Raw genomic sequence first — 26,476 nt, forward strand, 5'->3', positions numbered from 1 at the left:
CTTTTTTTCAGCAGTAGGTCTCAAAAAATGGGGTTAAAAAATTAACCATGCCATAAAAAGATAATTCTGTCATAAGCATTGTTCCATTTATAAAGTACAGGCAGAGTAGATTTAGCATAATTCTTAAGGGCCCTCGAATTTTGAGAACAGTCAATGAGCATTGGCTTCACCAGCTGCATTAGTCCCTAACAAGAAAGTCAGCCTATTCTTTGAAACCAAGCATTGACTTGTAACTATAAAGTCCTAGTTGGCTTCTTCTTCCAATAGAAGACGATTTTATCGACATGAAAATCTGTTTAGTGTAACTACCATCAGTGATTTTAGCTAAATCTGTATAACTTGCTGTAGTGTCTCCATTAGCACTTGCTGCTTCACCTTGCACTTGCCTTCACAGAGAGGTAGGCTCTTGCTCTAGATTAGGTTTTGGCTTAAGGGAATGTTGTGGATAGTTTGATCTATCCAGACCAAACTTTCTCCACATTAGCAATAAGGCTGTTGTGCTTTCTTATCATTCGTGCATTTTACTAAAGTAGTCCCTTCAAGAACTCTCCCTGTGCATTCACAACTTGGCTGTTTGGCATAAGAGGCCTAGCTTTGAGCCTGTAACTTTCAACATACCCTCCTCACTAAGCTTAATCATTTCTAGCTTTTGATTTAAAATGAGAAATGTGCGAGTCTTCCTTTCACTTGAACATTTACAGGCTATTGTAGGGTTATTTGGCCTAAGTTCAATATTACTGAGTCTCAGGGGATAGGAAGGCCTAAGGAAAAGGAGAGAGAAGGGGGATCATCCAGTAGGCAGAGCAGTCAGAACACACATGTATTAAGTTTGCCTTCTTACATGAGTGTGGTTAGTGGCACTCTCAAAACAATTGCAATAGTAATGTCAAAGGTCACCAATCACCATAACAGATTACCAAAATATAACACAGAGACAAAGTGAGCACATGCTGTTTGTAACAGTGCAATATATGGAAGCACAATAAAATAGGGCAGGCCTGTAATTACATGATGGCGGAAAGCTTGCTGCATTCTTTAATCTTTATCATGAGAATCAAAGATTCCCCCTATAAAGAAATAAAATTAGAGATAGGGAATGTAAGGGGGAAAATTGGTTTATTCCCTGCTTCTTGGTGATTATGTGTAATACTCACTCTAATTTAAGCATTTTATGAATAAGCAATTTTCATCAAACTATGGAGGCTGTAAGTTACATAGGCAAATTTGGATTTGAACTTGATGGCTATTCTAGTAGTTTTGAAATGATATCATCCCAGGTTCTTGCCTTAGCTACAAAATTTCAGTCCAAGTTTAGCTACAAACCTCATGGGAGAATATCAAATGTAAGTTTAAAATTTAGTATTTATTCATATAAAGGTTTACAGACTTGATTTCAATGAAGAAAAGCCATCTTCCCCCCCACCATCTCCCTCTCACACCCCTTTGAAAGCTTAAATTATATTTTATAAAAGTACTTTATATATTGTTCCTCAAGGAAGAGATCAATATACAGTTACCTACCCCATTCCCATATATGCCTTTAAAAAAAAAATCACTTTACTAATTACCGAGTAGCATACAGAAGTAAAACCAAGTTTTAAAAAAATGCACCGCAGTTCTGAAGATAGAATTCATTTTTCTCATCTGGTAGACATAGCTTTGCAGGTCTTCATTTAATTTGCTGGAAGAAAGTTATTTAATAGATCAGTAATAGACTTTTTAAAAGTCTTGTCCATTCATACTGAGCTATCTGATATTTTAGTAATAGAAGATTCTTTAATAAAAAATTATTAGGAGGGAAAATCCTAGCATTTACCTTTGTGTATCTGAAGATACAATGCTAACTTTTTAATTCTAATATAATGCAGATGTCATTTAGAAAAATTCACGTTTTATACATATACATACATTATATATACATTTATATGTATACATATATACATACATACATATATATACACGTGTGTGTCTGTGTATATATATAACTTTTTTTTTTTTAGAGACAGGGTTTCACCATGTTGGCCATGCTGGTCTCAAACTCCTGACCTCAGGTGATCCACCTGCCTCAGCCTCCCAAAGTGCTAGGATTACAGACGTGAGCCACTGTACCTGGCCAATATTCTCCTTCTAGATAGTGTTTTAGATTTTTAGTTTACCAGACTTGTCGAATCAGAGTTTCTTAGAGTAGTTGTAACACAGAATCAACACCACTTTAAAACTATTGACCAGGTTGGTTCATCCAAATTATTAGGATGCTGTCTGTATGTGTTGTTGGAAGGAAGTTACTATTTTTGCCATGTTCTTATAAACATTTCTAGAAGCTGTATTGGTGTCAGTCAGGTGGTTTCATATGGTAACCACTCACAACACTGAAGTAGGGGGAGTGGGTGTGGGTGTGTATTTTAAGATTTTTCCCAAAGACATGTAGCCAGTTAGCCCAGACAATTGTATGTATTGAACCTACTTGTTTGTTTAAAAGGCTATAAACAATCATGCAGAATCATTTCCCCATAGTGCTAAAACCAAGTCCCAGTCAACAGAAGAGGAAAAGCCTTCTAGGTGGATATGACTTGAATAGGAGATTCTAGATGGTGAGTCAGGTTTCCATTTATATGTATCATTATTTGCAAAATTAAGTGACGCTAAATTCCTATCCCTTAGTGTTACAGTCTGGTTTAAATTCTAGCCTCACTACAATATTAGTGTGCTCCTTTATACAAGTTGCTCGACTTGTGTCTTAGTTTCCTCATTTGTATAAAGGATCTGATAATCCTTTTGCTTATAATTAAAAGGAAGCACATGAATCATGTAAGTCTCTGGCTTTAAGCACTCAATGACTGGATCACCTTTCCAAGTAAGGAACCTAAACAAAGCCCTGCATTCACAATTACATAATAGATCACCTAATCTGATTAAAATGCATTGTTACATTAAAAATAAACTAGACTTAAAGATAGGCAAACTAGGCCGGGCACGGTGGCTCACATCTGTAATTCCAGCACTTTAGGAGGCCAAGACAGGTGGATCATTTGAGGTCAGGAGTTCGAGACCAGCCTGGCCAACATGGTGAAACCTCGTCTCTACCAAAAATACAAAAAATTAGCCAGGCATGGTGGCACGTGCATGTAGTCCCAGCTACTTGGGAGGCTGAGGCAGGAGAAGCACTTAAACCCAGGAGGTGGAGGTTGCAGTGAGCCAAGATCACACCACTGCACTCCAGCCTGGGCAACAGAGTCAGACTCTGTCTTAAAAAAAAAAAAAAAAAAAGAAAGAAAAGTGGGAAGGATAGAATCCTCAGGCCTCTACAACTGTTACTAGAAAAACAAAGTCCTTGTTATTCAAACTACAACTTTACAGAAAGAAATCTGATATGAATTATTAGTTATTTTAACTACAATGATGCCCATATACCAAGTTCATTTGCTCTGGGCAAAAGTGGTAGTTGAAAAGACTTCAGAGTTCCCTGCATCACTCACCTGGAGGGCCCGTCCTTTGGTTTCGATGGGGAGAGTGAATGCAGAAATGGCGCATACAACACAGACAGATGAGAAGAGACACAGGGCCCCCAGTATTGATGCACTCATAAGAACCTGCAAGTCACAAGAGAATTACTCAATTTATTATGCTCCAGTTACCTCTAAACTGTTCTTTATGTGAAAGAGAAAATACAGATTCACTTCACTAAGATGGTCCTTTGCAGCCATTCTACAGGTTGTACCTTCCTGACAAATTGATTTATCTGAGCCAATCTGGTGTAGTCATTTTGTGTGATTAGTCCAAGAACAGGAACTGGTATTAACACGCATTGGCCAGGTAAGACCTCTCTTGGCATCCACCTGTCAGGCATCTCCAGAGCCAAGTTTTGATATATGGAAAAGATGGGGGATCTGCCCGTTTCCCCACCCCCTTTCTCATACCATTTCAGCTTGCTTAACTTCTAACTCTCACTTCATGCTATATCCTCTGTCTGCCAAATATCCATTATCTCTTCAGTCCTGACAGCATGAAACAGGTGAAAGTTTTTTTTGGAAGAGGTGTTATCTCAGAGTCTCTGAAAGGATTGCTAATGTGTCTTGTCTCCGGTTATGGAGTTGTGTGACACCAAAACTCTTTGGTGTCAATTTTTCCACAGTAACTGGGTTTCTGTCCATCTGTACACATGCTTTGGCCTGGATCTTTTCACGCAGATACTGGTAATTCAGATACTCCATCTCATACTTTAGTTTCTCTTGGTCTGTGTTCTTGATAGTTCTCCATTAATCTCACAACGACAGTAAAGTATGAAGTGGTTAACCAACAGCAAAGCTCTCTAGAATCACAGAATAATGTATTATAATTTAGAAAGACCTAGAAACTATCTGGCTGAATACAATTTCTTCCCTTTACAGATGAGCCTAGACTAAGTGACTAGTCTCAGTAATTACTTGTCCAAAGTCACATACAGATCCTGACACACAGCCTAGTGTTACCACCACCACTTAGCTTCTCTTATGATACACAATTTGGGAGCGTACCTCCTGTGTTTCAGGGCTGCTGCTTTCCAAAACACTAAATAATTCCACTCACCGTGCAAACAGAACCCACAACATTGATCTCACTAATTATTTTGCAATTGACCTAGCAAGTGACAGGTACTAATGCTGATTTTGTCTCCCAAAATAATTACAATTTTCCCCAAACAGGAGTTTGTATAACGTCTGCGTGTGTGTGTGTGTGTGTGTGTGTGTGTTTTACTGCTGGAAATCTTGGAAGCAAGCTCAGAAAAGGGATAGAAACCAAAAGGCCAGGCAGTCTAAACTAAGATCAGATCATGCCATAATTAGGCATGTGTCTAGATTCTGTCATTATTGCCACTTCTATTACTGGACACCAGAATTCTCGCCACCACCAGAATGAATCCTAAACTGTCCCCATTTTACATCCTTTACACCACATTTAAAGTCCTGGGTGGTGTGAGACCCGGATGGGTTGAGTTTGTTTGGGTCACCTAACTGTGCTCCAGCAGCCAGGGTCAGGGAGAGTAACTGCCTAGGCTTTTTGCCTTCCCTGAAGCTTCGTAACAAGACTCCACAATCCAGTAGATGTTACTGGGTATTTTTCCAATAAATTCTACCTAAGTTTACTAAAGTCAGTTTCTGTTGTCTGTAAGCAAGAACTCTGAGTAATACCTGATTATAAAAATCATTTTGGAAATTTGTTAAAATGCAGATTTTTGGAGACCACTCCAGATTTACTGTATCAAAAGGAAAAAGATCTGTTGTTAATCTCTTCTTCTAAAAAGCAGCCCAGACCAGGAATAGAGAGACATTACATGATGACACAAGGGTCAATCCACCAAGAAGACGTAGCTATACTGAAGGTTATACATCAAATAAAAGAGCTTCAAAATACATTTAGCAAAACTGTTAGAAATAAAAGGAAAAATAGACATCCACAAATAGTTGGAGACTTTAATACTCCTACCTCAACAATTGATAGGACTATTAGACAGCAAATCAGCATAGAATTTTATGACACCATCAAGCAATGGGATCTAACTGACACTTGTAGGACAGGCCACCCAATAACAGAATACATCTTCTGTTCAGGTGCCCACTTAACATTCACCAAGATAAACCATATCCAGGGCCCTAAAAGGATCCTCAAGAGATTTAAAAGAATTGAAATCATAGAGTGTGTTCTAGTCCTAAAAGGATGTCAAGCTAAGAACAGGTAACAGCAAAATATCCAAACACTTCTATGTAATCCATGCACTAAAGAAGTCTCAAGAAAAATTAAAAATACATGGAATGGAATGAAAACACAACATGTTAAATTTATAGGACACAACTAATAGGAACAAAAATAGAATACTTAGGAATAAACAAGAAATGTATAAGAAAATTATAACTCTATTAAGTACATTAAAAAATCTACTTCAGTTCTTAGGCAAATACAATCTTGTAAAAATATAATCTTCACCAAAACAATCTGTAATTCTAATAGAAATTAAAATCCCAGCAGGATTTTGAGAAAAAACTAATTCTAAAGTTAAGTTGGCTGGGCAGAGTAGCATGCACCTGTAGTCCCAGATACTTGGGAGGTTAAGGCAGGAGGATCACTTAAGGCCAGGAGTTAGAGGCTGCAGTGTTCTATAATTGCACCTGAGAATAGTCCCTATAATTGTACTCCAACCTGGGCAACATAGTGAGATCCGTCTCCAAAAAAAAAAAAAAAACCAAAAAAAAAAGAAATACAGAAATGTCAAAAGACAAATTACAACAAACTTTTTAAATAAACTGGATTCTTTATGTAGTAAAGTTAATTTGAAAGAATTAACACATAAAAAAATTAGGCAACTTCTGAAAATGTGGGGGTATAGGGAGTCAGAGAGGTTATTTGCCTAGGAGGAATTAAAGTTGCAATCATTAGCAGTGTAGTGTTGGTGCTGGAATAAAGAGATCAGTAAAGCAATGAGTCACAAAATAGATCCAAGTATCTATGGACATTTGGTTTATTATAACAGGGAAATGTTTAATCATTTGAGGGGTGACACACAAGGATGATTGATGGCCTAGGAACAGCCAGCTAGGCATTGTTTTGTTGCTTTTTCATTGTTTTGTTGCTTTTTAGAGCTAGATCCTTACTTCAGGCCTATGTATAAATAAATTATGAAAAAATCAATTTGCCAGGCGTGGTGGCTCATGCCTGTAATCCCAGCACTTTGGGAGGCCAAGGCAGGTGGATCACCTGAGGTCAGGAGTTCAAGACCAGCCTGACCAACAAGGTGAAACCCCGTCTCTACTAAAAGTAGAAAAATTAGCAGGGCGTGGTGGTGTGCACCTGTGGTCCCAGCTACTCGGGAGGCTGAGACAGGAGAATTGCTTGAACCCAGGAGGCAGAGGTTGCAGTGAGCTGAGGACACACCACTGCACTCCAGCCTGGACGATGGAGCGAGACTCCGTCTCAAAAAAAAAAAAAAAAAGGAAAAAAAATCAATTTAAAGTTACATGTAACACTGAAAGCCTCTGAACTTTCATTTTTATAAATATTTGCAGAAATATGAACAAGTGATGAAGGCCATTTAAGCCTGATGGAAAACAAACACCTTAAGTGAAAATAATTGGTAAACTGACTATATACAAATTTAATATTTTGTTTGCCAAAAAACTTGATAGTAAAACCAAATTAGAAACAATGTAAAAACATCTGTAGTATGATGATACATGGCTAATAGCCTGTAGAAAAATTGCAAATTACATTAAAAATTTAATAAAATATGACGATAGTAAATGAAAGCTGCTCAAATTGATTAATAATGAACAAAGTGCAAATTAAGACAAGATATAATTTATCGTTCACCAGATTGAAAAGGGTTTAAAAACTTGCTATCCCTGGCCAGGCACAGTGGCTCACATCTGTAACTGTAGAGCTTTGGGCAGCTGAGCTGGGAGGATCTCTAGCTAGAGCCCAGGAGTTCATGACCATCCTGGGCAACAGAGGGAGACCCTGTCTCTACAAATAATAAAAAAATTAGTCAGACACAGCAGCACACGCCTGTACTCCCAGCTACTCAGAAGGCTGAGGTGGAAGGATCGCTGGAGCCCAGGAGTTTGAAGCTGCAATGAGCCATGATTGTGCCATTGCATTCCAGTCTCGGTGACAGAGCGAGACAGTGTCTCAAAAGAAAAAAAAAATGCTATCCCTTTTGGTGATGATGAAAAGAAACGGATGCTTGTTTAACAATGTGTTTATAGACCTGAATAGACATTTCTCCAAAGAAGCCATACAAATGGCCAAGAGGTATATGAAAATGTGCTCAACCTCACTGATCATCAGGAAAATGAAAATCAAAACCACAGTAAGATACATCACCTCACATGTCTATCACAAACACGAGATAAGCTTTGGCGAGAATGTAGAGAAAGGAAACTGACTGTCAGTGGTAAAGCCACTATGGAAAATCCTGTGGATATTCCTAAGGAAGTTAAAAGTAGTACTACCAGAGGATTCAGCAATCCCTCTGCTGGATACACACCCTAAGAAAATAGGCCGGGCGCGGTGGCTCACACCTGTAATCCCAGCACTTTGGGAGGCTGAGGCGGGTGGATCACAAGGTCAGGAGATCGAGACCATCCTGGCTAACATGGTGAAACCCTGTCTCTACTAAAAAATACAAAAAATTAGCCGGGCGTGGTGGCAGGCACCTGTAGTCCCAGCTACTTGGGAGGCTGAGGTAGGAGAATGGCGTGAATTCGGGAGGCGGAGCTTGCAGTGAGCCAAGATCGTGCCACTGCACTCTAGCCTGGGCGACAGAGCGAGATTCCATCTCAAAAAAAAAAAAAAAAAAGAAAAGAAAATCACCACCTTGTAAAGATATCTGCACTCCTACCACAAATGCTCATTGCAGCATTATTCACAGCAGTCAAAATATGGAAACAAGTCAAGTGTCCACCAACAGATGAATAAAGTGTGATATATACATACAATGAAAGAAGAGTCCGCCTTGAAAAAGGAGGAAATGCCATTTGCAACAACATGAATGAGCCTAGAGGACATTATGCTAAAAACTAATAATAAGAAGCCAGGCACAAAAAGACAAATACTGCATGCTCTCTCTTATATGTGGAATCTAAAAAAGAAAAAAAAAATCAGATACATAGAATAAAACGGTGATTACCAGGGGTAGGGGGAAATGGGAAGATGTAGGGGAGAAAAAAAGAAAGTTTCTAATAAATTATTATACTGAGAAGTGCATACTTTTAAAAAATATAAAACATAATTTGATAAGATTGGTCATCCACTTTTAAATGTACACTCTTTGGACCTAGAAATTATTCAATAGACTTTTTCTACAGAATTCTGCTTTTCCCTCCAACATGCTCCTGAGTCCCTGCCTTACTTCCCACGTGTCTCTGCCCTATTGTAGAAGCTCTCTCTAACCACCTCATCACTAGCTCCTTTGCCTGTTTTATGTTTTCATAGCATTAATCATTATCTGATGTATTAACTGACTGTTCATCCCTTGTCCGTTCTCCACTAGTATGTAACTTCAAAGAATCAGACCTTGACTATTTTAAAGTGTGTGGAACATAAAAGGGCTCAATAACTGTATGTTAAATGATTAAAATAGTTGCACATAAGCTGGGCATGGTGGTGCATGCTTATAGTCCCAAATATTCGAAGGCTGAGGTGGGAGGATCACTTGAGCCCAAAGTTTGAGGCTACAGTGATCCATGATCACTCCTGTGAATAGCCTCTGCAGCCTGGGCAACAAAGCAAGATCCCATCTCTTGAAAAAAAATACTCACATGTGGACAAAGGCGTGTTGTGCATAATGTTCAGTTTCCCATTGCTTGTAAATAGCAGAAAAAAATAAAATGCAAACAATGTATTCATTGACAAGGTGATGGCTATCTAATTATGGCACATACATGCCACAGAAATCTATGCACCTACTTAAAAGAATGAGGGTAATCTACATGTACTGACATAAGATTATTAGTGAGAAAAGGCAGTTGCTATATATATATATATATATATATATATATATATATGTAGATGTGTGTGTTTATACACAGACATGTCTACATATATATTCACACAGATGTAGCTATATGCTGTAAAGAGGTGTCTGACTCCATCCGACATTTGCTGATGGCCTTTAAGCCTCACTCCTCCCCCTTCCTTTTGTGTTCCACATCTGGACAAGCTTATGAGAAAGCCTGAGTGCTCCTTCCTTTGGTGCCAGCAGGAGGCTTAAACCACAAAAGCCCCTGCCCTTGCATAGGCACCCTCAACCCCATTTCCACCCCTAACCACAGTCCCCTTCTCTTGCTCTCTCAGGCCATTTCTGACCTGCTTGAGAGGTCTGTCCTGCTCTCCCAGGACCTCAATTTTGTAAAGTAAGGTAAGAAACCTTTTTATGCCCTCTTGGTGTGTGTTCGTGTCATCAGTCTCAACAAGTGAACCAAACTTTGAAAAGGGGGTTATCCATCTGCCTCTGCAGGTCACCATAACACAGATATATCTAGATAGATATACAGATATTCATGGAAGTAACTCTATCTACAGATACACATGCATCTGTATATAATACATATAACATGTATATAAAACACACATCTATATATACATACACATCCACATATATACAAATATGACTGGAACACACACAGACATGCCCAGAGAGACAAAACATATGTATATGAAAGCATCTGGAAGAACTACAGTGATTATCTCTGGCAATAAATTACAGATAATTTTCCCTTATAACTTACAGGTCACATTTGACAGTTTACTTTAGAAACAAGCAGGCTTCCAAATTAATCCATTTTGGGGAGGTCTTGTGATTTGATGGTGACATTCTGTCTCCAAGTAAAGAAACCTATGGTAAATTCCTCACATTGTTGATGTACTGATCAATGTATAACCTGCTGACACTGAATAGGGTGTGGATGTATTTTAAGATCAGCTAAAGCAGGCCGGGTGCGGTGGCTCATGCCTGTAATCCCAGCACTTTGGAAGGCTGAGGCAGGTGGATCAATTCAGGCCAGGAGTTTGAGACCAGCCTGGCCAACACAGTGAAACCCCTTCTCTACTAATAAAAAATTAGCTGGGCATGCACCTGGGGTCCCAGCTACTCAGGAGGCTGAGGCACAAGAATTGCTTGAACCCGGCAGGCAGAGGTTGCAGTGAGCGGAGATTGCACCACTGCACTTCAGCCTGGGCGACAGAGTGAGACTCTGTCTAAAAAACAGATTAGATGAAGCATGAAATTTTACTATCTTGCACATAGACCTTTGTAGCCTGTATGTTGTAATCTGCAGCTAATGAATGTAACCTCTGTATTATACCCTCCAATGAAAAGAGGAAAACTCTGACATGAAAGACCTCCTTCTCTTCTTTTAAACTTTCTTATAAAAACCTTTCTCCTTGTGACAGACTCCAGAACACTCCCAACTTTGTGGTCATCACATTTGGCTTTCGATAAACCTTTACAAAATTATTTCTGTCTCAAAAACCTTAATTTATTCTTTTTTTTTTTTTTTTTTTTTTTCATTGAGACAGCGTCTCACTCTGTTGCCCAAGCTGAGTGCAGTGGTGTGGTCACGACTCACTGCAGTGTCGACCTCCTGGGCTCAAGTGATCCTCTCAGCTCAGCCTCTCAAGTAGCTGGGACTACAGACATATGCCACCACACCCAGCTAGTTTTTTTATTTTTTGTAGACATGGGGTCCCACTGTGTTGCTCAGGCTGGTCTCAGACTCCCAGGATGAAGCAATCCTCCCACTTTGACCTCCTAAAGCACTGAGAGTACAGGCGTAAGCCACCATGCCTGGTCAACAGCCTTAATTTTGATGATATTCAGTTACATACTTCTATGAAGCTTTACAACAAGCATATTTTTATATTAAGAAAACAATGTAAATGACTGTAAATCTTGTTAATATAAAATATGTTAATATAGTGGGCTGGGCATGGTGGCTTACGCCTGTAATCCCAGCACATTGGGAGGCCAAGGCGGGAGGATCACCTGAGGTCAGAAGTTCAAGACCAGCCTGGCTAACATGCCAAAACCCCGTCTCTATTAAAAACACAAAAAAAGCTAGCCAGGCGTGGTGGCAGGCACCTGTAAATCCCAGCTACTTGGGAGGCTGAGGCAGGAGAGTCTCTTGAACCTGGGAGGCAGAGGTTGCAGTGAGCCAAAATTGTGCCATTACACTCCAACCTGGGCAACAGAGCAAAACTTTATCTCAAAAAAAAAAAAAAAAAAAAAAAGTTAATATAAGAAATAATGGAAACAATGAACTATTCTTCCAATTCAAGAAGTTAAAGTTAATAAACCTAAGAAATTAGTGCAATGGAAATAAAAACAAAAGCTTAAGTGAATACACTGGAAAATAGAAACAAATGGGGTTGATAAATTGATGCATGAAATATTTTATTTTACGAAAAAATAAACCTAGTTAGAAATTAAAGTAAAAAATCATGGCATTAAGAATGTGAAAGAAGGTTGGGTGTAGTGGTGCATAACTGTAATCCCAGCACTTTGGGAGGCTGAGATGGGAGGGTCACCTGAAGCCAGGAGTTCAAGACTGGCCTGGGCAACACAATGAGCCCTGAGCTCTAAAAAAGAGAAAAAAATGTGAAAGAGAAAATAATCGCTAATGTAGAGGAAATGAAAAGAACCACAAGAGAATTCTCCCCACAGTTCAATGCTAATAAATTTGAATGAAGCATTCAATAAAAATGTTTCCTGACATTTATTTAAAAAAAAAAAAAAAAAGGATAAAACTAAGAGAAACAACCAGAGAAGAAACGGAGAATGACCAAAGAACAACATCCTCAAAAGTGCCAGGACTCCCTCTTTCACAGGTAGCTCTTTCAAATCTCCAAGGAACAGAGTCTAGAGAGAAAAGAAAATTTTCCCATGTCTTTTTAATAAGACTAGAATGAAGGCCGGGTGCAGTGGCTCACGCCTGTAATCCTAGCACTTTGGGAGGCCGAGGCAGATGGATCACCCAAGGTCAGGAGCTTGAGATCAGCCTGGCCAACACAGCGAAACCCGGTCTCTACTAAAAATACAAAAATTAGCTGAGCGTGGTGGCAGGCGCCTATAATCCCAGCTACTTGGGAGGCTGAGGCAGGAGAATCGCTTGAACCTGGGAGGCAGAAGTTGCAGTGACCCGAGATCATACCACTGCACTCTAACCTGGGCAAAAAAAAAAAAAAAAAAAATAGAATGACAGTCATTCTGGAAACTAACAAGATAAAACACATAACCACAAACAGTCCCAGTCACCATCCATTTATGAGAATTGATTCAAAAATGACAAATACTGTCAAATAAATCTCAATAGTTCACCAGCTGAGGCAAAGGCTCTGGCTGAGAGGGAGTCCTCGCTGGCCACCCAGCATTGCGGTCCAGGGCTCTCCCTCCCCACTCCAGCAGCCTTCGGGTGTTTTCCAATCAACCTCTTGCATGTGCAATTCCATGTTGGCATCTGTTTCTCCAAGGACTCAAATTCATATTTCAGTAAAATAGTTGAATACAAATAAATTTTTTTTTAAATTGTTTTTTTCTATTTAAAAAAAAAAAGCCAGTTAGAAATCATTCATAAAATGTTTTGAGCACCAGGTCACTCAAGTAAGAGTTACTACGGTAGGAGCCGGGAACACAAAAATTAGCCATCTATGCACACGTCCTGGTCCTCATGGCGAGTAAAGTCTATTGGAAGAGATTGATTTTAAATAGCCTGGAAAATAAATGGGCAATTACAATATTGTTGCAGTCTTGTTGTCTGAGGTATTACCTGGAGTTCTTGTCTCACGACCAAGAAAATTAAGGAATGTGGACACCAGGGGTGAGGTTGGAGAGAAAGTTATTAAGCAGAAGAGGAAAGCTCTCCACTGTGGAGAGGGGACCCAGAAGAGGGTTGCCATTTTTCAGTTGAATACAAAAGCTTTTATAAGAAACTTCCCTACCTGTGTAACTTCCCTTATCTGCGTAGTTACTTGTGTAACTGCCCTTATCTGTGCAGCTGTGGGTATGTCTCAGGCAAGCCTCCCTTCTATGCAAGTTCCCACAGAGCCCACTGTGGACATGTCTGAAAGGGGAGGAAATTTTTTCCCAAGGAGCCCGCTCATTACACAAAAAACAAAGGCATCTCCACATTGGGCCTTGCTCCCTTCTCTGTGCAGCTACAGCTTGATTTTTTAGGCTGTTCCTCTGTTTAAAAGAATTCTACAGGCCAGGCACAGTGGCTGTCACCTGTAATCCCAGCACTTTGGGAGGCGGAGGCAGGTGGATCACCTGAGGTCAGGAGTTCAAGACCAGCCTGGCCAACATGGTGAAACCCCATCTTTACTAAAAATACAAAAATGAGCCGGGCGTGGTGGCGCATGCCTGTTATCCCAGCTACTCAGGAGGCTGAGGCAGGAGAATTGCTTGAACCCAGGAGGCAGAGGTTGCAGTGTGCTGGGATCATACCATTGCACTCCAGCCTGGGTGACAGAGCTAGACTCTGTCTCAAGAAAACAAAACAAAACAAAAAAAGAATTCTATGGAGGACTTGCCCTAACTGTCTGCTTAACTGTTTTTTGTTTTTTTTTTCATTCTCCTCTCTCAATACAATAAGTGATATGAAGGAAAAGCTCAAGGTGCCATAAGAGCTCACAGCAGGGAGGCCAGACGGGTTTGGGGAGAGATGTCAGGAGTTTAATTTCAAACATGCTAGATTTAAGATGCTTTTGAGACATCCAGGCGAAAATGCTGGGGAGATAATCAGGTGGATGAATCTGGAGCGAGAAGCAAGGCCTCGTCTAGAGATAGAAGTTTGGGGTTCATGAGGAAGTCACTGGTAACTAAAGTCATAAAATGGATGATACCATCTCAATGGAGAGTGAAATAAGAAACTATAAGGGTCTAATATTGAGCAATAAGAAATCCACAACCAAAGAAAGAGTAGAGGAAGACAAGTCACAAAGACATGGGGAAGCAGCGGCCACAGAGGTCGGAGGAAACCCACAGAGTGCAAGTGATGGAGCCACCAGAAGGGAACACGGGATGCCGGAGGGAGAGCACGGCCAGCAGTCCTTAACGCAGGTCAAAGGTCAGGTGAGATGAGGGGTTAAAACGACCTTTGAACCTAGAGACACAGAGGTCACTGGAGACCTTACCAAGAATGATTTTGGTGGAGTAGAGATGGCTGCAGCCAGCTTGGAGGAGGTGAAGGAATGAGTGGAAGGCAGGAAATGAAGCAGGAAGAGAACTCTTTTAAGGAGGTTAGCTGGAAAGAGGAGAAAAGCAGTAGTGAACAAGGTTGATTTTACAGCTTGGAAGCTGTGGAACCCGAAGCATATTAAATGCTGATTGGAAGCATTCAGCATCAAGGGATAAATAGAAATCGCAGAAGGGCTACAATTATAAACCTGAAAAACTCAAGAGACTCAAATGAGAAAGTATTAGGAATGCATTCAGTAAGCTGGTTGTTTAAAAATCAATATTAAAAAAATCAATAGCCTTCTAAATATAGATAACTACTTGGAATGTTAAAATAGAAGTTATAATGAAAGAAAACAATCCATTCCTAATAACAACAAAATGCCATAAGATGCCTAGGAATAAACATAGCAAGACACATAGGATCTATTTGAAGAAGACAATAAAATCCCAGCAAGGGCCATAGGAGGAAAGATTGGACAAAGAAAGAGACAAACCTTGTTCTTGGATACATAGACAACGCTATCAGAAAAAAAGTCAATTTTTCCTCTATTAGCTGTTACATTGAACACATTAACAATTAAAATGTTAATAGGATTTGGGTGGAATGTTACTAAGTGATTCTGAAAAAGAGCAATGAAGTGGGTTTAGAACAGCCAGTTTAAAAAACGTGCTATAAATCTCATTAGAGTAATAAAAAGAACATGTCAGTGACAAAAGCAGACAGATCAATGGACTAAAATAGCGAGCTAGAAATAGGCCAATTGCGGGAACATAAGCAAACAGACATTTCTAACCTATGAGTAAAAAATGGATTTTCAATACGTCGTGTTGAGACAGCCGGCTTGCCACTGGGGGAAATTGTACAGCTGTTTCCGGCATTGGACCTCACGCCTCAACAGACGCCCACGGCCTGGAAGAGGGCACAGCAGGGATGTCTGGGTCAGAATCTGGGTTGCATTCACTCTGTGAAATGTGAGTAAGTTGGACATGTACGATGTGGGCACTTCCACGTGTATGTTATACTTCAATCAAAAGTGTACACTCCCCCCCCTTGCCCTCTCAAAAAAGAAAATGCCATAGAAGGCCTGGAAGAAAAGAGGTGTGTGTTTTTTATAATCCTAGTTGCAGACTCGAGAAATATACAGAGAAATACTGATACATTTGAGTGTCTATGAACCCCGCACAGAAAAAGGAGAACACGAACAAGAATGAAAGACAAATAACAAATCTCTGCAACGTAATTGCCAAATACGGAATATTTGTAATATGTCAGAAAAACTGCTAAAAATCCTTTATAGACAAACCCACCCACCCACACATATATATACACACATATTTATGAAAGGCTCTTACAGATCCATGCTTTAAAGACTGAATTGAAAAATGGGCAAGTACCTGAGTGGGCAAGCTAAAAAAGATAAATTACCCAATTAAAATATGAATAAGAACATTCAGTACCATTCCTAATAAAAGAAACACTAATTACAATAATAAAGAGGTATCATTTATTGCCAGTGAGATTGGCAAAGATGAAAGACTAACATCTGTGGCCGATATGTGAAGCAACAAGGCTCTCAGGCACTGGGACAAGCTCGCCCAAGAGGACTTGAGCACAATGTACCAAAATGAAAGCGAGCAGACCCCTTCACCTACCAATCCAATTTCTAGGGATTCACCCTAAGGAGATAATTGCACAATTGGATAAAAATGTAAGCACAGCTGGGCCCGATGGCTCACGCCTGTAATCCCAGCACTTTAGGAGCCAAAGTGGGAGGATTGCTTGAGCCCAGGAGTTCAAGCCCAGCCTCCAACCTGGGCAACATGGCAAGACACCACCTCTACAAAAAAAAAAAAAAAAAAAAATAGCAGGGTGTGGTGGTGAGCACCTGCAGTCCCAGCTACTCAGGAGACTGAGATAGGAGGATCATGTGAGCCCAGGAAGTTGAGGTGGCAATAAGCTGTGATCGCACCACTGCCTGTCAGCCTGGGCAACAGAGTGAGACCCTGTCTTAAAACAAAACAAAACAAAAAACAAAAGCAAGCACAAGGATGCTCATTACTGTTTTTTTTTTGGGGGGGGTGGGGGCGTTGGGGGTGGGGAGAGGGATAGAGTCTCGTTCTGCTGCCCAGGATGGAATGCAGTGGCGTGATCTCAGCTCACTGCAACCTCCACCTCCCAGTTTCAATCGATTCTCCTGCTTCAGCCTCCAGAGTAGCTGGGATTAAAGGCACCCGCCACCACACTCAGATAATTTTTGTTTAGTAGAGACGGGGTTTTGCCATGTTGGCCAGGCTGGTTTCTAACTCCTGACCGCAAATGATCCGATGCCTGCCTCAGCCTCCCAAAATTCTGGGATTATAGATGTGAGCCAGCATGCCTAGCCTTATTATTGTGGTTTATATTAAAATCTTTCTGAAATAGTTGAGATGTTCAATAATACAGAACTAACTGAAAAGTAACTTCTGGGATATACATACAATGAAATATTTTTCAGCTTAATGCCTATTTTTTATATTTATGGACATGAAAAATGTCTACAACATACGAACAAAAGATCTTTTTCTTCCTTTTCCTTTCCTTCCTTCCTTTTCTTTTCTTTCTCCCCTCCCTCTCCTCTGTCCATACATAAAAAAAGAAAAAGAGAGAGAGAGTAAAAGAGCAGGCTATAAAAAGTACTATGATATTTGGGTGAAATTTATACTCTTTTTTTTTTTATTTGAGCCTACATCACTAACAATGTATATGCATATTTATACACACACACATAGAAAAATATATTTTAAAAGCCTCATTAAAATGTTTATCTTTGTTATCATTAAATGGTGAGATATTAGTAAAGTTTCAATTCTACTTTGTAGGTTTTTGTGTTTTCAGGATGGAAGAAAAAAAATCACGTGGTCAAAATTGCCCTTGGGAAAACTCTTAAATCACTCAAAATACAGCACACACAAACATATTTATAAATTAGAGGCTAAGATCCTCTCCTTGACCGAACCCTAGCCCAGCTCCTATGAGCCCTCTTCTCCACTAGGCCTTGACCTTGCCCTGACACTTAAACACTAACGTAGTTTCTAAGAGCTCAAGGACACACCCTTATGAGGCTCCAGCCACCCTTGAAGGGCCTCCCTGAGAAAACTCAAGGCTGCCCAAGAATCTATTTGTTCTAGCTGACATCTGAAGATAGGGCCCCAGGTTCCCAGCCTTGACAGAGCCTAACTTTAAAGAGCGCCACTTAGCAAATCCAGGTGGGATTTACACAGACTGACACCCACTTACAGGTATTTGTAATGTTTCACTTCACTGACTGTGCTCAAGCCCCTGCCACCCTCCTAAGACCGCTGCCACTCTCCCTTTGAAACACCCAGTCACCTCTGTACAAATGGAGGCTGAGTTCAGTTCACCGTGGACTCTTCTCTTTTGCAATAGTTATTACTGATTAAAACCTTGGCCGGGCACAGTGGCTCACGCCTGTAATCCCAGCACTTTTCGGAAGCCAAGGTGGACAGATCACTTGAGGTTAGGAGTTTTAGACCAGCCCTGCCAACATGGCAAACCCTCGTCTCTATTAAAAATAAAAAAATTAGTGGGGCATGGTGGTGTGCGCCTGTAGTCCTAGCTACTCGGGACGCTGAGGCATGAGAATTGCTTGAACCCAGGAGGCAGAGGTTGTAGTGGGCTGAGATCGCACCATTGCACTCCAGCCTAGGCGACAGAGCAAGACTCTGTCTCAAAAACCCCCAACCCCAAAACAAAACAAAACAAAACAAAACAAAACAAAAACCAAACCAATCCTTACCCCTTTAACTAGTGCCCAGCTCTGTTGATCTTTGACAACGTACAGTTTCTCAATAAGTTCATGGCTTATTGGAAATCACTTCTGAAAAAATTAAATGGATGTAATTTGATTCCCATTAACTTGTGAAGTTCTCTGTCATCTTACGAGCTGATTTTTTTTCCCCATGCTTCAAGAGAACATCAGGCATTTATATAGGACAAAAAGATCATCTTTCGGCTGTAACCATTAAATTAGGGTTTTTTTGTGACCCTTGAAAGATAAGACTTTGGTTAAAAGATTGAAAATTAAAGCTAGATAGGAGGAATAAGTTCTAATGCTCTATACCATTATGGTATGACAATAGTTAATAATATATAGCTTCGACAACCTACACCTCCCAGCCGCCTGCCTTGGCCTCCCAAAGTGCCGAGATTGCAGCCTCTGCCCGGCCGCCACCCCGTCTGGGAGGTGTGCCCAACAGCTCATTGAGAACGGGCCAGGATGACAATGGCGGCTTTGTGGAATAGAAAGGCGGGAAAGGCGGGGAAAGGATTGGGAAATCGGATGGTTGCCGGGTCTGTGTAGAAAGAGGTAGACATGGGAGACTTTTCATTTTGTTCTGCACTAAGAAAAATTCCTCTGTCTTGGGATCCTGTTGATCTGTGACCTTACCCCCAACCCTGTGCTCTCTGAAACATGTGCTGTGTCCACTCAGGGTTAAATGGATTAAGGGCGGTGCAAGATGTGCTTTGTTAAACAGATGATTGAAGGCAGCATGCTCGTTAAGAGTCATCACCAATCCCTAATCTCAAGTAATCAGGGACACAAACACTGCGGAAGGCCGCAGGGTCCTCTGCCTAGGAAAACCAGAGACCTTTGTTCACTTGTTTATCTGCTGACCTTCCCTCCACTATTGTCCCATGACCCTGCCAAATCCCCCTCTGTGAGAAACACCCAAGAATTATCAATAAAAAAATAAATTAAAAAAAAAAAAAAAAAATAAAATAAAAAATAAAAAAAAAATAAAAAAAAAAAAAAAAGAAAGATAAGACTTTATCTTTCATCCTTATCCAAGCCAGACTTAATTTTTTTTTTTTTTTTTTGGTGAGAGAGAGAAAGTCTCGCTCTATCGCCCAGGCTGGAGTATAGTGGTGTGATCTTAGCTCACTGCACCTCCGCCTCCCAGGTTCTAAGGGATTCTCCTGCCTCAGCCTCCTGAGTAGCTGGGATTACAGGTGCCTGCCACCATGCCCAGCTAATATTGTATTTTTAGTAGAAACTGGTTTTCACCATGTTGGCCAGGCTGGTCTCGAACTCCTGACCTCAGATGATCAATCAGCCTCGGCCTCCCAAAGTGCTGGGATTACAGGCATGAGCCACCGCGCCTGGCCAGAAATGTAAATTTTTTACGCAGTCAGGTTTACCATGTTTTCCTATATCTTTATACTATAATAGAAAGGGTTTTCCAGAATTCTGAAATCTCCTCTTTCATGGCAATAATACATGGCAATGTGAACTGAGAGTTGTCTTATAAGCTTACTCTACCCTTTCCCTCCTCCAATTTACTCTCTGCAAGCAACCAGAGTGATCTTTTTATTATCTTTTTATTTTTTTGAGACAGAGTCTCACTCTGTCAGCCAGGCTGGAGTGCAGCGGCACAATCCTGGCTCACTGTCACCTCTGTCCCCAGGGTTCCAGCGATTCTCCTGCCTCAGCCTCCCAACTAGCTGGGACTACAGACGCGTGCCACCACGCCTGGCTAATTTTTGTATTTTTAGTAGAGATGGGGTTTCACCATGTTGGCCAGGCTGGTCTCGAACCCCTGACTTCAGGTGATCCACCCGCCTCGGCCTCCCAAAGTGCTGAGATTACAGGCATGAGCCACCGTGACAGGCCAGAGTGATCTTTTTAAAAAACAAAACTGATCATATCCCTCACCTGCTTAAAACCCTTAAAGTTTTCCCCACTGCTCCTAAGGTAAAAATCTAAAGTCCTTAATATGCCTGGAAGGCACATTCTGCCCCTGCACTTCTCTCCATTTGGCTCACCATGGCTATTTCCTATTCCTGGAACACACTGATGTCTGTCCCACCTCGAGGCCCTCAAACCAGCAGTCATTCTACTTGAAATGCTGTTTCCCTTTACACAGCATTCAACTTCTCATATTTCAGATCTCAACTTCAGTATCACCTTCCCAGAGAGGACTACCTAAAAAAGCCTGTCACCCCTTTTACTCATTACCATAGTACCTCCAAAGCACTAATCACAATCTGGAATTATTTTACATTAATTGCATATTGATAAAGTACCCAACTTGAATGTAAGCCTCTTGAGGGCAGGAACCTTGTGGTGGTGTGCTGTCAAATGTTCAACAACAGGTTCTCAAAAAACCCAAGGCCCTGACTTACATCATTTGTCAATTTCCACAGTGTACACACTAGCACCATGACTAATTTCAACAATGTGACATTAACCAGTTTGCGATTTTTCCTGAAAATTTAACCATCGGCTTTCAAAAGTGAGTCCAGGCCAGCTCCAGCACACCACTGGCACCTCATCTGGCTTATTGATTACTGCAAATAAATAGAACTAGAACAATGGCAGGCACAGAGGACAAGTTCAATAAATGTTTTGAACATTCAGTTGGGATAAAATAATTCTTGATTCTATGCTAACAAATAGACTGCAGCTAATTGAGTCTCTTTTGGTGCTCTAACTGCCAAACTACATAAGAAGTCCTCTAAAACTTGTAGAGAATTACTCCAGAAAGAACTTACTGAATGGTCACCAAAATAGGACCCTGAATTAAGGAATTCTCCTTCCTCCTAACAGAGTCTCTGTTTGTCTACTTTGCTCTCTTCTGAAGCCTGAAAGGCTGAATGATTTCAGCTAGAAAAAGCAGAGAAGACAAGCAAATATATCAGAGTTTGTACAAGGCTAGTTCCGCTGAATTTTGGCAGCATTTCAACTTTTTTTTTTTTTTTTTTTTTGAGACAGAGTGTCACTCTGTTGCCCAGGCTGGAGTGCAATGGCGCGATCTCAGCTCACTGCAACCTCCGCCTCCTGGGTTCAAGTGACTCTCCCGCCTCAGCCTCCTGAGTAGCTGGGATTGCAGACGTGTGCCACCATACCTGGCTAATTTTTGTATTTTTAGTAGAGATGGGGTTTCACCATATTGGCCAGGCTGGTCTTGAACTCCTGACCTCAAATGATCCACCCACCTCAGCCTCCCAAAGTGTTAGGATTACAGGTGTGGACCACCACGCCCGGCTGGCATTTGAACTTCAAAGGGGTGATAAGGTTGAAGGGACGAGGCTGGAGATTTGGGGATGACAGCTATGCGACTGACGACAACGGAAGTGAGTCAGGCAAAGAGGCTGTTTAAAAGTTTTGCTCGAGTCACAAATGGGCTTTTCCACTGACATCTCTTTGAGGAGATTTTATAGAGATTTTAAATGCTTTTCAATGCTTTTTTTGGATGCTGGACCATCTCATTTGATGAAAACACCATGTGAAGTCTGGCCACAGGGAGAGGTCTTGGTTGCATTACCCAAATCACAGCCGCACACCGTGAGGCTGTCAGGGCCTGTGCTGCAAGCCTAGGGTAAATCCCAAAGCCATGGACATGCTGAAAGGACTTTAACATCCATAGTAGGTTCCAGCAGTGCACACGTCACTGAACCAAGGAATGCCTGGTGTTATGGACTGGGTGCTTTTGTCCCTCCAAAATTCATAGGTGGAATCCTCAATATGATGGTATCACAGTTGGATGTGGGGCCTTTGGGGATGATCAGGTCATGATGGTGGAGCACTCATGAATGGAATTAGTGTCCTTAAAAAAAGAGATCACAAGGCTGGGCACGATGGCTCACGCCTGTAATCCCAGCACTTTGGGAGGCCGAGATGGGCAGATCACGAAGTCAGGAGATCAAGACCATCCTGGCTAACACAGTGAAACCCGGTCTCTACTAAAAATACAAAAAATTAGCCGGGCGTGGTGGCGGGCGCCTGTAGTCCCAGCTACTCGGGAGGCTGAGGCAGGAGAATGGCGTGAATCAGGAGGCAGAGCTTGCAGTGAGCCAAGATCGTGCCACTGCACTCCATCCTGCCTGGGTGACAGAGCGAGACTCCGTCTCCAAAAAAAAAAAAAAAAAAAAAAAAAAAAGTTTGAGACCAGCCTGGCCAACATGGTAAAATCCCATCTCTACTAAAAATACAAAAATTAGCTAGGCATGGTGGCAGGTGCCTGTAGTCTCAGCTACTTGGAAGGCTGAGGCAGGAGAACTGTTTGAACCTGGGAGGCGGAGGTTGCAGTGAGCCGACATCACACCACTGCACTCCAGCCTGGGCGACAGAGTGAGACTCCGTCTGGGGGAGGAAAAAAAAGATCACAGATGTACCACCCAGTTTAAGAAAGGAAAAATTTTTTAAAAAATAAAACAAAAATAAAAGACCAGAAAAAACTCTTTCCCCTCTTTCTGGATGTGAGGACACAAGAAGGTAGCTGTCTCCAAGCCGAGAAGAGAGCCCTCACTAGACCCAGTTTAAGAAAGGAAAAAAATTTTTAAATAAAATAAAAATAAAAGAGACCAGAAAAAACTCTTTCCCCTCTTTCTGGATGTGAGGACACAAGAAGGTAGCTGTCTCCAAGCCGAGAAGAGAGCCCTCACTAGAACCCAAACATGTGGGTGCCCGATCTTGAACTTCAAGCCTCCAGAACTATGAGAAATAAGTTTCTGTTTTTATAAGCCACCCAGAGTCTGTGGTACATGCTATAGCAGCCTGAACTAAGACACCTAGCTAGGGCTAAAGTGACTGATCTCTTGAAGTTTCCCAGAATAAGTGCGGAGGCAGCCCTTGACCTATTGGCAGAGGCCTTGCACTGGTCCCTTCTGTGTTTCAGTGAATCTTTAATACTTTTTTTTTTTTTGAGATGGAGTTTTGCTCTTGTTGACCAGGCTGGAGTGCAATGGCATGATCTTGACTCACCACAAACTCCGCCTCCCAGGTTCAAGCAATTCTCCTGCCTGAGCCTCCCGAATAGCTGGGATTACAGGCGCGCATCAACAAACCCAGCTAATTTTATATTTTTAGTAGAGACAGGGTTTCTCCATGTTGGTCAGGCTGGTCTCGAGCTCCTGACCTCAGGTAATCCACCGGCCTCAGCCGCCCAAAGTGCTGGGATTACAGACATGAGCCACCACACCTGGCCCTGAATCTTTAAATACTTTTGTTGCAAAATTTTCCTTTATTGTTTTCTTGGACTACATACTCATGACTACTATTATTTTTTACTATCATTAGTTTCTAACAACTAAATATCTTAAAATGTTCTTAAAGTTTTTCAGTGGGTGAATTATTATTAATTAATTTGTTTATTTATGACAGAGTCTTACTCTGTTGTCCAGGCTAGAGTGCAGTGGTGCAAACATAGCTCATCACAGCCTCGAACTCCCAGGCTCAACCAAGTCTCACACTTCAGCCTCCTGAGTAGCTGGGACTATAGGTGCATGCCATCATGCCTGGCTGGAACATTCAATTAATTAATTTATTTATTTATTCTGAGACAGAGTCTCGCTTTGTCATCCAGGCTGCCGTGCAGTGGCACAATCTTGGCTCAGTGCAACCTCCATCTCCCAGGTTCAAGCGATTCTTATGCCTCAGCCTCCCAACTATCTGGGATTACAGGCACCCTCCACCACGCCTGGCCTAATTCTTATATTTTTAGTAGAGACGAGGTTTCACCGTGTTGGCCAGGCTGGTCTCTAACTCCTGGCCTCATGTGATCTGTCCACCTTGGCCTCCCAAAGTGCTGGGATTACAGGTGTGAGTTACTGTGCCCAGCCTGAAACATTCATTTTAAAAGAGACTTTTGTATTAAGCTTATAGTCATTAGGATATGTAAACATATTACTGATTAAAATTTTTAGTTTAACTGGTTTAACAGCATGTTTTAGGCAAAAAAATAAGAAGGAGGAGCAAGAAGAAGGAAAAAGAAAAAGTGGAAGAACAAGAGGAAGAATTAAGTGAAAGGAAGAACTCATCTCCCAGTCCTCCCTATTGATAGCTGTGCCTCCCCAGAGGGTGGCCCGCCATCAGCTGCATCAGATTTGCTGGGGATACTTAAAAATATAAGTAACTGAGGCCAGGCTCAGCGGTTCACACCTGTAATCCCAGCACTTTGAAAGGCCAAGGTAGGAGGATCTTGGAAGGCCAGGCTGAGCAACACAGTGAGACCTCATCTCTACTAAAATTCAAAAAAATTAGCCAGGCATGGTGGCACATGCCTGTAGTCCCAGCTACTTGTGGGGCTGAGGTGGGAGGATTACTTGAGCCCAGGAAGTTGAGGCTGTAGTGAGCCCTGATCATGCCACTGTACTCCAGCCTGGGTGACACAGTGAGACCTTATCTTTAAGGTGGAGGTGGGGAGGAAAGTAGGTAACTGATCCCATCTACACAATCGGCATCTGTGAGTGGAATCCAAGGATCTGTGATCAAGTTACCCTAGTAATTCTGAGAAGCACTAAAGTTTGAGAACTACCTTTCAGGAAAGTGACTAATTAGCTCATGAAAGTGACACCAAACCCTACTGTCTACTTGGAGCAGCTCACACCACCCTAAACCGAGGCAAATATCCTAGGAGCTGGCACAAAGCTTCCCAGATTCGAAACCTCCCCAATCTAAACCTGTTAAGGAAAGCAGAGCATCTCGATTGCACAGAAATTGATACAACAATACTTTCCAAAGTTAAATTATTGAGAAGTATCCATTGGAATAGCGTTTCACCTTGACCGTTATTGATCATCATGATAATATTAGCTCACATTTACCGAGTGCTTACTGTATGTCAAACATTGGGTTAATTGCTTTACATTTATTCATCTCATTTCATCCTTAGAGCAAAACTCTGTAGTAGGTGCTATTCTTTATCTCCACTTTAGAAAGGAGGGTAGCAGGCTGGGCACGGTGGCTCACACCTGTAATCCCAGCACTTTGGGAGGCGAGGCGGGCCGATCACCTGAGGTCAGGAGTTTGAGACCAGCCTGGCCAACATCGCGAAACCCCGTCTCTACTAAAAATACAAAAAATCAGCCAAGAGCGGTGGTGGGTGCCTGTAATTCCAGCTATTCGGGAGGCTAAGACAGGAGAATTGCTTGAACCCAGGAGGCGGAGGTTGCAGTGAACCAAGATCATACCACTGCACTCCAGCCTGGGTGACAGAGCGAGACAGAGAGAGAGAGAGCACGCAAGAGTGAGAGAGAATGAGAGCACGCGTGCACACGCGCGAGAGAGAGAGAGAGGAAGGAAGGAAGGAAAAAGAAAAGGAAAGAAAGAAAAAAGAAAAAGAAGGAAGGAAGGAAACAGAAAGATAGGAAAAGAAAACAAAAAGAAAATGAAAATGAAAATAAATGAAGGGAGGGTAGCAGAAAAATATAACTGAGAATTACAAGGAGTTAAGAATCCAGGTGGGCTACAGGAGGCTAAACAGAGCAGGGCATTACGGCCCCAGGAGACCTGGTCCCAGCTGGGTTCTTTCCTAAACCACAAACCCACCAACAGCAGCATAGCCTCTGGGATAAATACCCACAAATGCCCAGGGAAAATGTTCCAGGTGGTCAAGAACTCAATTCCTAATGAAAGCTTGGAAAATGAACTAAGCCTCAGTTCAGTCATCCAGAAATAGGGTTAATGTTTTACTACTGGCAGGGTGCAGTGGCTCACACCTGTAATCCCAACACTTTGGAAGGACAAGGCAGGAGGATGGCCTAAACCCAGAAGTTGGAGGCCAGCCTGAGCAACATAGTGAGACTCCATCTCTAAAAATAAATAAATAAATAGTCAGGCATGGTGGTGCATGCCTGTAGTCCCAGCTACTGGGGAGGCTCAGGTGGGAGGATCCCTTGGACCTGGGGGGATTGAGGCTGCAGTGAGCCATGACTGTACCCCAGCCTGGGCGACAGAGCGAGACCCTGTCTCTGGAAAAAGAAAAAAA

At 41.7% G+C, this 26,476-nt stretch overlaps 1 protein-coding gene across 10 annotated transcripts in view, besides 1 other annotated feature; it reads right to left on the bottom strand.

Moving 5' to 3' along the window:
- SVOPL (SVOP like) overlaps nucleotides 1,345-26,476 on the bottom strand; it is a 107,078-nt gene continuing 81,946 nt past the window's right edge. For all 10 annotated transcript variants that reach the window (NM_001139456.2, XM_011515797.3, XM_024446655.2 and 7 more), the window contains 2 exons: nucleotides 3,477-3,590; nucleotides 1,345-1,681 (listed from right to left, as the gene is read on the bottom strand). In NM_001139456.2, coding sequence (NP_001132928.1) covers nucleotides 1,670-1,681; nucleotides 3,477-3,590 — 126 coding nt within the window. In that variant the 3' untranslated portion in view covers nucleotides 1,345-1,669. The remainder of the gene's footprint in view (nucleotides 1,682-3,476; nucleotides 3,591-26,476) is intronic.
- Nucleotides 17,904-18,198: a silencer, noted in NCBI's record as "tiled region #10989; K562 Repressive non-DNase unmatched - State 5:Enh". NCBI's record gives its function as "represses a minimal TATA promoter and a strong SV40 promoter by Sharpr-MPRA in K562 cells {active_cell/tissue: K562}" and the evidence as "EXISTENCE:reporter gene assay evidence [ECO:0000049][PMID:27701403]".

Source organism: Homo sapiens, chromosome 7 (genome assembly GCF_000001405.40).
Source record: "Homo sapiens chromosome 7, GRCh38.p14 Primary Assembly".
NCBI classification, from domain to species: Eukaryota; Metazoa; Chordata; class Mammalia; order Primates; family Hominidae; genus Homo; species Homo sapiens.